Source organism: Homo sapiens, chromosome 13 (assembly GCF_000001405.40).
Source record: "Homo sapiens chromosome 13, GRCh38.p14 Primary Assembly".
NCBI lineage: Eukaryota > Metazoa > Chordata > Mammalia > Primates > Hominidae > Homo > Homo sapiens.
In genome coordinates, this window is record NC_000013.11 from 35,752,871 (window position 1) to 35,767,458 (window position 14,588).

Below are 14,588 nucleotides of genomic sequence, written 5' to 3' on the forward strand. Positions count from 1 at the left end.
GCCACCAGATCTCACATGAACTGAGAGAGCTCACTTATCACCAAGGGCATGGCCCAAGCCATTCATTGAGGGATCTGCCCCCATGATCTAAACACCTCCCACCAGGCATCATCTTCAACATTGGGAATTACAATTCACCATGAGATTTGGCAGGGATATACATTCCAACTATATCAACCGTTTTTGCTGTATCTCATAGGTTTTGGTATGTTGTGTTTCCATTGTCACTAGTTTCTAGAAATTTTTTGATTTCGTTCTTAATTTCTTTATTGACCCACTGGTCATTCAGGAGCATATTGTTTAATTTCCATGTGTTTAGATAGTTTCCAAAGTTCCTCAAGTTATTGATTTCTAATTTTATTTCACTGTGGTCAAAGAAGATACTTCATATGATTTCAGTTTTTTTGAATTTTTAAAGCCTTGTTTTGTGGCCTAACATATGGTCTATCCTTGAGAATGATCCATGTGCTGAGGAGAATAACCACTTTGCAGTCATTGGATGAAATGTTCTATGAATTTCTATTAGGTCCATTTGGTGTTGTGCAGATTAAGTCTTACGTTTCTTTGTTGATTTTCTGTTTGGATGATCTGTCCAATGCTGAAAGTGAGGTGTTAAAGTCTCCTGCTATTATTTTATCAGGGTCTATCTTTCTCTTTAGCTCTAATGCTATTTGCTTCATATATCTGGGTGTTTCAGTGTTTGGTGCATATGTATTTACAATTTTTATATCCTATTGCTTAATTGACCCCCTTATCATTATGTAATGACTTGCTTTGTCTCTTTTGATAGTTTTTGTCTTGATTTTATAGTTTTTATATTATTTTATCTGATAAAACCATAGCTACTGCTCTTTTTTGGTTTCCATTTATATGGAATATATATTTTTCATTCCTTTGTTTTCAGTCTATTTGTGTCTTTATAGGTAAAGTGTGTTTCTTGTAGGCAACAGATTGTTGGGTCTTGTTTCCTTATTCCTTCAGTCATTCTGTGTCTTTTGATTGAAAGTTTAGCCAATTTACATTCAACGTTATTATTGATAAGTACTATTGCCATTTTATTATGTGTTTTCTGGTTGTTTTATGCTTTCTTCCCTCCCTTCCTCCTTCCCTCTCTCCCTCCCTCTCTCCCTCCCTTTGAAAGTGGTTTCCTCTTATGGCATGTTTTAATTTCTTTTTTTTAATTTTTTCAGTATCTGTTTTATTTGATGTTACCATGAGGCTTGCAAATAACTTCTTATAACTCATTATTTTAAACCGATGATACCTTAACTCTGATTGCAAAAATGAACAAGCAAACAGAAAACTAAGAACTCTAAACTTTAACTTTATCTCACCTGCTTTTTAACTTTTTGTTGTTTCTATTTATATCTTATTATACTGTCTATGTCTTAAAAAGTTGTTGTACTTACTATTTTTGATAGGTTAGTCTTTTAGTCTTTCTACTTATTATATGAGTAGGTTATACACCACAAATACAATTATAACATGCTGTATTTGTGTGTGTACTTACTGTTACCAGTGAGTTTTATATCTTCAGATGATTTCTTATTCATTAACGTTCTTTTCTTTCAGATTGAAGAATTCCCTTTAGCATTTCTTGTAGAACAGGTGTGGTATTGATGAAATCCTTCAGCTGTTGTTTGTCTAGGAAAGACTTTATTTATCCTTCATGTTTCAAGGATATGTTCACTGAATATATTAAAGTATAAGAGTTTTTTTTTCTTCAGCACTTTAAATATGTCATGCCACTCTCTCGTGGCCTTTAAGGTTTCCACTGAGAAGTCTCCTGCCAGATGTATTTGAGCTCCTTTATATGCTACTTGTTTCTTTTCTCTTGCTGCTTTTTAGGATCTTTTCTTCATCCTTGACTTTCGGGTGTTTGATCATTAAATGTCTTGAGGTAGTTTCGTTTGGGTTAAATCTGATTTGTGTTCTATAAACTTATTGTACTTAAATATTGATACCTCTCTCTAGGTTTGGAAAGTTCTCTGTTATGATCTCTTTGCTTTTTTTTCCTCTGCCTAATCACTACAAGTTCCTCTTATTCTACATTTATCAGTTATTTTTTGTAGATGACTTAGACTTTTATATCTCCTCTGGGCTCCAAACTTGTGTATACTTACTGCATCCTTGAGGTCTCTTGGATGTTTCAAAGTTACCTAAAAAAGAACATGTCTAAAATTAATTTAGCATCTACCCCCACTCCTCCAACTGATCTTCTTCCAGACTTCCCTGCCTCAGGGAATGGGAGCATTATTCACTTTTGTGCACAGGAAAGTGAATCAGCTGTGATCTCTTGTGCTCAAATCTTTTATGTTCAAGTCCTGTTAAGGATAGCTCTTTAATATTTGTTTTCTCCATTTCCAGGACCACTACTGAGTTTATCTACTCCCATCTCCTACCTGTACCACTTTCTATGTCTGTCTTCTTGGCTCCATGACCTTGTAAACCAAAATGTATGTGAGACAAGTCTCAATCAATTTAGAGGTTTATTTTGCCAAGTTTAGGAACATGCCTGTGACACAGACTTAGGAGGTCCTGACAACATGTGCCCAAGGTGATGTGGCTACAACTGGGCTTTATACATTTTAGAGAGACCTAAGACATCAATCCATACATGTAACATTTATACTGGTTCCATGTGGAAAGGCAGGACAACTGAAAGCAGGAGCTTCCAGTTCACAGGCAGATTCAAATATTTTCTGATTGGTAATTGGTTGAGTTATTATCTAAACACCTGGAATCAGTAGAAAGGAATGTCTGGGTTATGATAAGGGGTTGTGGAGACCAAGGTTATTCATGCAGGTGAAGCTTCCAGGTAGCAGGCTTCAGAGAGAGTAGATTGTAAATGTTTCTTATCAGACTTAAAGAGTCTATTCTATCAGTCTTCAGGTCTGTGCTGATGTTAATGGTAATGAGGCATGTCTGACTCCTCCTTCCCATCATGGTCTGAGCTAGTTTTCCAAGTTAACTTTGGAACGCTCTTGGAAGAGAGGATGGCTCCTTTCAGATTGTTGTGGGGCTTATAATTTTATTTTTGGTCTATACCCTTAACTCTCCAGACTGCAGCCAGCATGATGTTTTTGAAATGAATATCTGATCACATCACCATCTCTACCTCCTGCTTAAAACCTAACAGTGATGTAGGGACCAGGACGCTTGGCCCCCTGAAGGTTTGCTGAAATTCACCAACATGAGACAGGTTGATTAATAGGAGAAAAAGCATACAGATTTATTTAATGTGCATACACAGGAGCCTTCAGAATGAAGACCCGGCCCCCCACTGGGATGCAGAGACTTATATACCATCTTGAGATTACAGAAAGAAGGTGAGCTCAGAGCATAACCAAAAACAGGTTATGGTGGTAAATCATGTAGTGGCAAGGCTGGTTATGGGAGGGGGCGAAGAGGAGGCTTGGCTAGAAAAGGTGGTCTTGTTATGCAGATGAAACCTCACAGGTAGCAGCTCTCAGAGGGAATATATGGTAAATGTTTCTTTTGGATCTTTAGAAGTGTCAGACTCAGTTAATCTGTCCTAGATCTGGACAAGGGAAGGCCTGGCTGCGTTAATGGAGATTCTCTACAGATGCAAATTTCCCCCACAATAGATGGTTTTGAAGGGCCACTTCAGATTATTCTCCCTGTGGCAGCCATCTCAAAATATGTACAAAAATTATATTATGGGGTATAGTTTGATTTCCTTCAGTAACTTCTGATTACTTAAGGGATAAAGGTAAACCACTGCTCAGCCTGTGAGGCCGACCTAGCCTGCCTTCCTCTAGGGTTTCCCACACCATGCTTTCTCCACACTGGCCGGATGTCAGTCCCTTGCGCTGGCCCCACTCCCTTTCACCACCAAAGCTTTGCACAAGTTGTCCCCCAGATACTCTTTTCTTTCTTCTTTGTCTAGTTAACTCCTACTCATCCTTCTAATCTCAGCTCAAGGCTCACCTCGTCTTAGAAGACTTTCCTGAGCTCCCTATCTCCACTAAATTTCCATCACACCCTCTCGTAGTACCCTTATTTCTCCTTTTTAATACTTCTCATAGCTGAACTTTTATTTGTGCCCTTATTTGATTAATGTTTATCTACCTCTAGATTACAAACTTCAGAAGGTAGGAGGATTTATTTGATTCTCTGTTGCGTACTCAGCCCATAGCAAGATGCTTGGCGCATTGTGGGTGTTTCATATTTGTTGAATGAATGAATGAACAAATGCCATACTAAGATGTTTGCAATTTATCCCTTGGGCTTCATTGAAAGAATGTAAGCAGAAAATAGATTATTTAAGTTTAAACAAGAAAGCTCAGTGAACTGTTTTGAGACAAGATGGGCACAGGTTGGAAACAGACCCGTTTGACACCTGTCACAATAGCGCAGTTGAGAAAGAATGAGCACCCAGCCAAAGTAGTCCCAGTGAGGCTGAAGCGTAGAGTGGAAGTGATCATGATTAGAAGGTAGGACAGATAGAACTTAGTGACTCTGTGAGGTGGTGAAACTGCCTTTGCCAAGATTATAACACCCTTTCCCCAAATAAACCCCCTTCTTGGCTGGGAACTAGACTGCTTTTGTAGGACTAACAAATTTGCCACAAGATTAGAAATTATGGTTTAGGAGTCATGCAGCTAGAGGCCACAAAGTTCTAAACCTCCCCAGTTGTTCCTAGGGATAACATCACTATTGGAAAACCTAAGATTGGGGCTTGAGTTATTTTTTCAGGCCTTGCACTCAATAGATCAGCTAGTGTCACCCAGATCAATAAACCGACTCATCTGATCTTCTGGTCCCCACCCAGGAACTGACTCAGCTCAAGAGGGCAGCTTCGACTCCCTATGGTTTCGTCTCCAACCCGACCAATCAGCACTCCCCACTTCTCAAACCCCTACCCACCAAATTATCCTTAAAAACCCAAATCCCAGAATTTTCAAGGAGACTGGTTTGAGTAATAACAAAACTCCAGTTTCTGGTACAGCTGGGTCTGACTGAATTAAACTCTATTGTAATTGCCCTACCTTGATATCTTGATAAATCAGTTTGGTCTATGCAGCAGGCAAAAAGAACCTGTTGGGAGGTTTACAGTGGCTGCTGGGATGGAGGGAAGTACACCAATGAATCCAGGGTACGTAGAGACAGAACAGCTTTGTGGCAAGAGAGACTGCGCTCAGTTTGAGACTCGATGAATTTGAGGCTCCTAGGAGACACCCTGCGGAAGATGTCTAATGGGTAGTCTTACATTTTCAGCCTTTTTCACAGGTTTTTTCTCTGCCTAGTAATAAAGGCTAGGTTTATTCTTCTTTTAACCCTTTTTGCATTTAGAAAAAAAAGTGCAACTCGCTGCCAGCACTCATTTAATTTTATAATAAACATGCCCTTTGAGGCTGAAGCAAATTGGACTGATTTTTAAGGTGAAAACAAAACATAAAAATTGTTCTTGGAGTTATTGCTACACAGAACTGACATGAGAACTGCCTGAATCATCAGAAACACGTATTTCAGAAAAATCAGATTCGTCAAATGAATCTTTGGCCAACAACTGTTCGAGAATGATGTGAACAGCATGTGTAGATATGCTATGTTTTCTAGGATTTGACATTTTCAGTGATCGAGAATTACTATATTTTGTAAATGGAAATACCACTACTGGAAACAGAATGCTATAGATAGGATGATGTCTTTTGTTTCCAAAGTTGATATACCAGAGAGATGCAAAAATAATAATAAAGTGAGATTTCATGGCAAAGTTATCTCGTGGTAAATGCTGCAGCCACAAGTGCTGCCCGTGAATATTCTCAGGGAAAATGGGAAAAGGGCTAAAAGCAAAACATTTCTTGGAACCTTATTCCTTTACTCCTCTTCTTAACAAACTGTCTTTGAAAGGGCAGACAGCACATGCTCTGTCTGCATCTGTTTAACTCCTGTTCACTCCTCTACTCCCCATTCTCTTGGCATCGCTGAAACTGCCTTCAATAATGAGCCCAGAAGCCAAATCTAGTGCACCCCCAGAGACTGAATATACAAAAGGACAATATCCAGACCATATATAAAAATAGAACTTTGATCCACAACCTGCAGCAACATGCCCAGGAAATCAACCCCTTATTTACAAAAAAACAGTCTAGGAAGCCAGCTTGCTATATAAGTCAGACTTGCAGGAAGCCAGATAGCTATCTTTAGTGACAATCCAGTGAAATAACTTTTATACCTACTGGCCACAAATGGCCAGGACTTAATTAATGACTGAAATAATTGGCAATTGGCATCTTCCCAATTTTTTTCTCCTGCTCTCAACTTAGAGCCAACCAGAGAAAGCCAAACATGCTCCAACCAATCATACAGGATGCCCCACTTCTGATTAGCCTGCCTACAGCTTCCTCATGCCAAAAGTCACCAATCAGGGTGCACCCAAGCCTTCCATTTTTTCTACTCTAAGGCGTTTCCCATCCTCTGCCTGTCTCTGAGTCTCTGCCAAAACGCAAGTGATGGTGGCTGACTCCCTTACTACAGCAAACTCGGAAGAAATAGCCTTTGCCTTTCTCATTTAGTTGGTCTTCATTTATTCCCACAACCCTCCACTTCTTATCAAAATCACTCAGCTGCACTTAACACTACTAATCATGCCCTCCTTGAAATTGTCTCTTCCCTCAGCTCCTGAGACCCCAATTCTGATTCACTGTCATTTGTGTGTATGACATCTTCGTATCCTTCAGGGTCTCTTTCTCTGCCAGGGGCATCCAGGGTTCCTTCCTCAGCCTCCTTCTCTACTCACGTTCATGTCTCCTTGGGTAATGGCATCCACTCTTTCTCAACCACCACTGTTGCACTTATTCCCTAAATCACTGTGTCCAGCCCAGACTTGTTCCTACCGACTCTCTCCTCCCTGAGGCTCCACAAGCACCTAAACTCAACATACTCAAAGCCAATTCCCCCTACCCCAACACATACACACATATAAACATGGTGCACCCTTCCCTTCCCACCTCTGCTGGTCATACCATACCCACCATATCACCCAAGTAAAATTATTAATTTGTACTGATTGATTTGGCCTCTTAAATATTTCCTTGGTGCATTTCCTCTTCTTCATCTCTATTTCCACTGTCCACTTTAGGATGTCACTATCTCTTCCCAAAATATTACAAAAGTCTCCTAACTGGTTTTCAACTTGCCAGGCTTGTCTCCTTTCGAACAGCCTTCCATTTTCTTCACAGAGTCATCTTTTCAAAATATCCATCTGAGCATGTCATGCCTTGCCTACAACCCTCTTCATTATTTAGTATAACATACAAGTCCCCACGATGTTCTCCTCCGCCATGTTTCCTGTCATACAAGACTTTGAACTTGATGCTCTAAGCAGATACATCACACTGTTTAGACTCCTGAGGCTGTGCAAATTGTGAGCATGTCCCTTGGTGGTATCAAAGCACCAATGATATTCTCACTTGTATCCTCATTGGTGACCTGCGGTCTTAGCTTGGCGTCCCTAGAGAATGTTTATGGCCAGCCGCTTGATCTCTGTGAGGAGGTCTCTGCTCAGGTGGCTAGCTGCAAGGAGGACCACGTTGGACTGAATTAGTTATGATTTGCGAGCTTCCAAATTCTCTTTGTCAGAAGCCCTAGTTTATACTTGGCTTGCAGGTGTGGCTGAAACCAAATGAAGGACTATCTAGGGCTTCCCAAAAGAAGGGGAATTTCAAACTCTTGCCCTCAGAATTTTTCATCTTCTGCACAAATGGAGTCTCTGCTTATACTTACAGATGTGGTCCTTTCGCTCCCATGACCCCATTGATGTATCCATATCAACGGATAAGGGGTGCAGCAGGGTCTCTGCTCTCCAGAGGCGGGCGAAAGCCTTCCCAGCAGGCATTTACTGTCAGCCAAACCAGCAGGAAGAAAGAAAGTCAATATCAGAGGGCAACTGGCTGATTGTTAAAGCTGGGCCTCGTGTGGGAGAAAGATAATGGTCTGGTGATTTCACACGTAAACATTTTTAAGATGCCGATAGCCAGCAGGCAGCCTTTCACATCAGATATCTCTGAATGGCATCAGCATTTGGGGGAAGGCTGGGAGACAAGAAACTCCCCGCTTCAACTAGAAAATATCGTAACTTTTATTGAAGAAAGGAACGCCTCATTCTCCAAGTGCCAGACCGTGCCTTCCTGATTTACAGCAGGACTTTGGAGGCTGACTACTCAAATATAAAGTTACCGCAGCTGCCTCCCTGTTTGTGTGGAATGATGAAGTGGAAGGCAATAGAGGAGAGTAAATAGAGCTCTAGGAGGCCAGTGCTGGCCGGGAAGGAGGTCCCAAGTTACAGCCAACCATTAAGACTGACACTGTGGGATAGGGTGATGGTTATGAGGACAGAAGATGGCAGACGCCGAGGAACGGGGAGGCTGCCCACACTGGCGGGCTGGCTGCGGGGTGTGATGATGCTGGCTTACACCAACACACATATGCGCGCACACACACACCTGTGCACAGCACACACACATACATACACACCTACACACACAGACATACACACCTACACTCACCCACACCTACACACACACCTACACACACATACATACACACCTACACACACTCCTACTCATACACACCTATACACATACACACCTACATACATTCACACCTACACTTATACCCACAGCTACACACACACATACATACACACCCACACACACACCACATATACACACCTACACTCATACACACACTACACACACATACACACCTACACTCATACACACCTACATTCATACACACCTACACTCATACACACAGCTACACACACCTACACATACACCTACACACATACACACCTACTCGTACACACCTACACACACTACACGCCTACACACCTACACCAATACACACCTACACACACCCACACACATACACACCTACACTCATACACACCTATACACACCTGCACACCACACACATACACACCTATACACACTCCCTACATACTAGACATCTACACACACCTACACTCATACACACCTATACACACACTCCCTACACACATACACACCTACACACATACCCACACTCACACATACCTATACACATACACCCCTACACACACACATACACACATACCTACACCTACACTCATACATACCTACACACACTGCACACCTACACACACATATCTACACACACCTACACACATGCACACCTACACCCATACACACCTATACACACCTACACACACCTACACATACACACATACACACACCTACACATACACATCTATACACACCTACATACAACTCATACCTATACACATACACACACACCTACACACATACACACCTATAACACACATACATATCTACACACATACAAACCTGCACACATATATGCATACACACCTATATATACACACCTACACACCTACACATACACACCTACACACATACATACCTACACTCATACACACATACAACCCTACACACATAGACACCTATACCTACACACACACCTACACTCATACACACCTACACACACACATACACACCTACAGTCACCCACAACTACACATACACACCTACACTCACCCACAACTACACACACATACACACCTACACTCACCCATACCTACACACACATACATACACAACTACACTCATACACACCTATACACACATACACACCTACATACATTCACACCTACACTCATACCCACAGCTACACACACACATACATACACACCCACACACACACCACATATACACACCTACACTCATACACACACCTACACACACATACATACACACCTACATTCATACATACACACACCTACATTCATTCACACCTACACTCATACACAGCTACACACACCTACACACACTCTACACACCTACACACCTACACTAATACACACCTACACACACCCACACTCATACACACCTACACTCATACACACCTATACATACCCCCTACACACCTACACACCTATACACATACACATCACACACATACACACCTATACACAATCCTTACCTACACACCTACACACACCTACACTCATACGCACCCATACACACACCCCTACACACATACCTACACACACATACCTACACTCACACATACCTATGCACACATACACCCCTACACACACACATACCTATACCTGCACTCATACATACCTACACACCTACACACACACCTACACATGCACACCTACACCCATACACACCTATACACACATACACACCTACACACACCTACACATACACACCTATACACACCTACACACACCTACGCATACACACCTATACACACATAAACACCTACACACACCTACACATACACACCTATACACACATACACACCTACACACACTTACACATACACACCTATACACACATACACACCTACACATACACACCTATACACACCTACATGACTCACATACCTATACACAAACACACCTACACATACACACCTATACACACCTACATGACTCACATACCTATACACAAACACACCTACACACATACACACCTATAACATACATACCTACACACAAACCTGCACACATATATGCATACACACCTATATACACACCTACACACATACACACCTACACACATACATACACACCTACACTCATACACACCTATATACACATACTTTTACACACCTACACATGCACACATACACACTTACACACATACATACCTAGACTCATACATACACCCCTACACACCTATACACACGCCTACACACATACACACCTACACCTACACACACATACACTCATACACACCTATACACACACTCCTACACACCTGCACTCATACACACCTACTCATACATACACACCTACACTCATACACACCTATACGCACATATACCCCTACACGCCTACACACACACACATACACACACACATACATACACGTGTACTTTCAGGATAACAAGGTAGTGACTTTACTGGAAACTCTAGCAATGGCACCGTGAGCTGCTGCTGTGCGGTGGGAAATTTGGAAACACAGGAGTAGCTGCGGTGCAGGGTCTGAGCTCCAAAGCTTCTCCCAGGCATCCTTGGGAACTGCAGGACAGTGAACAGCAAATAGCCCGCCTGCCAGCTGTGCTCTGACTTCCTCCAGATGGTGTCTGGTCCTCTCATAGGGGCCTGTGGTCCCTCCTGCGAAAGTTCACTTTGAGGATCATCCCCAAATTCCAGACTTGAAGAGGCACAGAGGTGGCCGAGGCACAGAGGTGGCCAAGGCCAGAGTTTGCCCAGAGGCCAGTTTGGATTTAGGGCCACATTAAGGGGAGGTGAGACCATGAGTGCTTATGGTGGAGAAGCCACATGGATTTCAAGCAGTGGATGTGCCTCTGGGGAGGACAGCAGGTTAAGGCCAGGGACTGAACTTGGACTGCCAGTGGTTTACCTGGCTGTTTTTGCTAAAACACAACTGAGTGGAACTATGCGCTGGGAGGAGGCAGGTGCCAGCAGTTAGAGCCTGGCTTGGCCCCGTGAGACCCTGGCCTCTCTTTTGCCTGGAAAGTTCCTATCCATTAGAGCAAGCCCTGCTGACAGATTGGGGACAGAGCTGAGTTGGACAATCCTGAGTGTGACTAATGGGAGTGATCACTTAGGTGCAAGGGCAGCCACTGTCCCTGGACTCTGGTTTTAGGAGGGGCCATAGAAGCTCTGATCCACCGATCCTGAAGACAGCTAAAGCCCAACAGTGAACAGACATCTCTCTGGCAGCTGGATCATCCAGGGCCAGAGTTCTCGGCTGTCCCCACCCTTCTGAAGCCATCTGTGGGCATTGGGGAGACTCAGGTTACATAGGTGCTCCTTGTTTCTCTCCCCTTGCTGGGTTTTCATCAGGTTTTCTTCTGATGAAACATATTGAGAGAGGAATGCTCTGTTGTAAGAAGACTCTGAGAGGCGACAGGATTAAGCCACACAATACCTCTCAGCAAGATTTTTGCAGAAAAGCATATTGAAGTGTGGGCATTTCAGGAGAAGCCACAAAACCACAAGGCAGAAGTCCTTTGAGCAAATCAGCAGACAAATATGTTAGGATGAGGCTTCCCTTCCATCCTGAGCAGAACATTTTCAGTTTTCCAATTTAAGAAACCAAAGTGAACTGTTACCTTCCTCTATAAAGAAGAAACAATAGGAGCTTCTCATGAAGCAAAAAAAAAAAAAAAAAAAAAAAAAAAAGGCTTGCTCAGAAAGATAGCAGAGAACTTAGAAAATGTTATTTAAAAATGGAACACCTGAGACAGTAGGAAGAGAGGACACCATGTCAAGAGAAGAAATTGCAAACGTCTGGGTTGGTTTGGACTTGGATTTACTTGTTGAAAATGAAAGGATATTTCATATTCTGAACGATGAGCCAGCCACGCTGACAAGTTCACTGCTTAATCAGAGGAATCCAGCAAATTAATAGGTAATTCTGATGGAATAACAAAACCTGTCTCGGGTGGACCATAAATTATCGCCCTGCTGTAAGGGAAAGGTGACAATGTGGATTTGTCCAGGAAGAAGGAGGGAGAGAAATATTTTCAGGGTCAGTGGATTTCTCTCTCCTCTCTGTCTCTCTCGTCTCAGAACAACATAGGAGAGAACAAGGTTTTCCCCGTGAGTGGCGAGCTAATAAGCTTTGTGAGCAGGAGGTTCTATGCATTAGGAAAGGATTAACCCATGGCTAGCTCCTCTGTTTGCACAAGGAGGTGGCCCTCTGCTATTGCTGTGAAGGAGCAATTGGAATCCACAGTATTTCAGAAGGGCCTGAGGTCTCTAATGCTCCCTCAAGAGCCATCCTCCCAGCCCTGCTTCCTCCTTAGCTAGCTCTGGGACCTGGCATTCGGCACCGTTTCATTTTTACAGCTGCCTACCCCATCCTGAGCACATTTGCACAGCAAGGAGACGGGCCAGTTCCCTGGGCTCTACCCTGGCCTCGTTAGGGCTGACTTGAAGCCTCCATCTCGCCGATTCTGAGCGCCTCTGTGTTCTCTGTGTTTGCACCGATTGTTCCCATGGCTTGGAATATCTTCCTCCTCTTTCTCTTGGCTAATTCCTGCTAATCTCTCAGGCCCTCTCTTAGGGACACTTTCTTCAGAAAGCCTCTGATTGCCCATGGCAGTTAGATGACTTTTCAAAGTGATCCCACGTGTCTGTCTTGGGCGTTCCTCCTTCACGACCCTGGTCATGCTGGACGGCAACTCTCTACTTCTTTCTCACACAGGCCTGTGAGTGTGGGAGCGGCAGTGGTTAGGACTTTTGTTGTGTGGCCCCAGATCCAGCAGAGGGATCGGGGCATATGATAGGAACTTGCTGGAGGTGGGAGCAGAAGACTCGCCTACGTGACAGATGGTGGGGAGGGCGTTGCGGGGTGTGTCGGAGAGGGCTTCCCCAGGCTAAAATTCCTTTTAGTAGTACAGGTTCAGGGTATGTCCTTCCAGGTGGTGGAGAATAGGTTCTCCAAGAGGATTTTGAAAGTCCAGGAAAGAATGGACAATGATGTGTGAAAATTAGAAGATTCTTGGGAAAGGCTCCACCTCCTGCTTCCAACAAGAATGCACGGATGGAGCCATTGATGACATCTTATGATAATAATACACTTACCCTGTCACAGGGGGACTGTGCTCCTGGATGGAAAATGTGGAGGAGACCAAGACCCATGTCAAACTCATACCAAAATGTGTTCCACGATTCCCACATAGCATCTCCCAGGACCAGTTTTGAGGAACACACTTTGGGAGACATTGATATTTCCTTTCCTTTTAAACTTTACAAATGATACCTCAGTTTTAAGACTGTGGAAACTTCGGTCTCTTCAGCCTTTATTTCTTCCTTTCCTCCTTTGCTCTCTTCCTCCCTCCCTCCTTGGCTTCTCGCTCTTTCTTTCTCTTTCCTTCCTCCCTCTTTCTTTTTTTCTTCCTTTCCTTCCTTCTTTCTTTCTTTTTCTTTCTTTCTCTTTATTTCTCTTTTTCTTTCTCTTTCTTTCTTCTTTTTCTTTTCTTTCTTTCTTTTTATTTCTTCTTTCTTTTTCTTTCTTCTTTCTTTCTTTTTCTCTCCTTCCTTCCTTCCTTCCTTCCTTCCCCCTTCCTTCTTTCTCTTTCTTTCTTTTTCTTTCCTCTCTCTCTTTCTTTTTCCTTCTAGGGGTTTACTAAGGGTGACATTTGAATTGTTGTAATAGAGTGGGCCACAAGTGTATTTGCATGTGACTGATGGCTGGCTTGCAAGCAGCCTGCACGGTCTCCACATGCTGAGAGCCAGTCTCAGGCTGGTAGTGATGCTGTGCCCCTGACAAACTGGTGTTCTGTCATCTGTGAGTGATAAATCAGTCACCCCACCCTGTGAACATCCAGGGTAAAAGATTTCTCACTAGATGGAAGTTCTTAAGAACAGGAATTGTGCTAGTTTATCTCAGCCTCCACAGTACATCACCCGTCGTAGGTCCTTTTAACGCTTGCTGGGTTAATGGACATCGTGCAATATTAGTGCATGACAAGAGGTAAAATCTCACAGTAATTAAAGATGGCAGAGAGGACTCAGGAAAGCCTTCCAGCTCAGATCCCAGGAGTCAAGCCAAGAGTACCATGGGGTG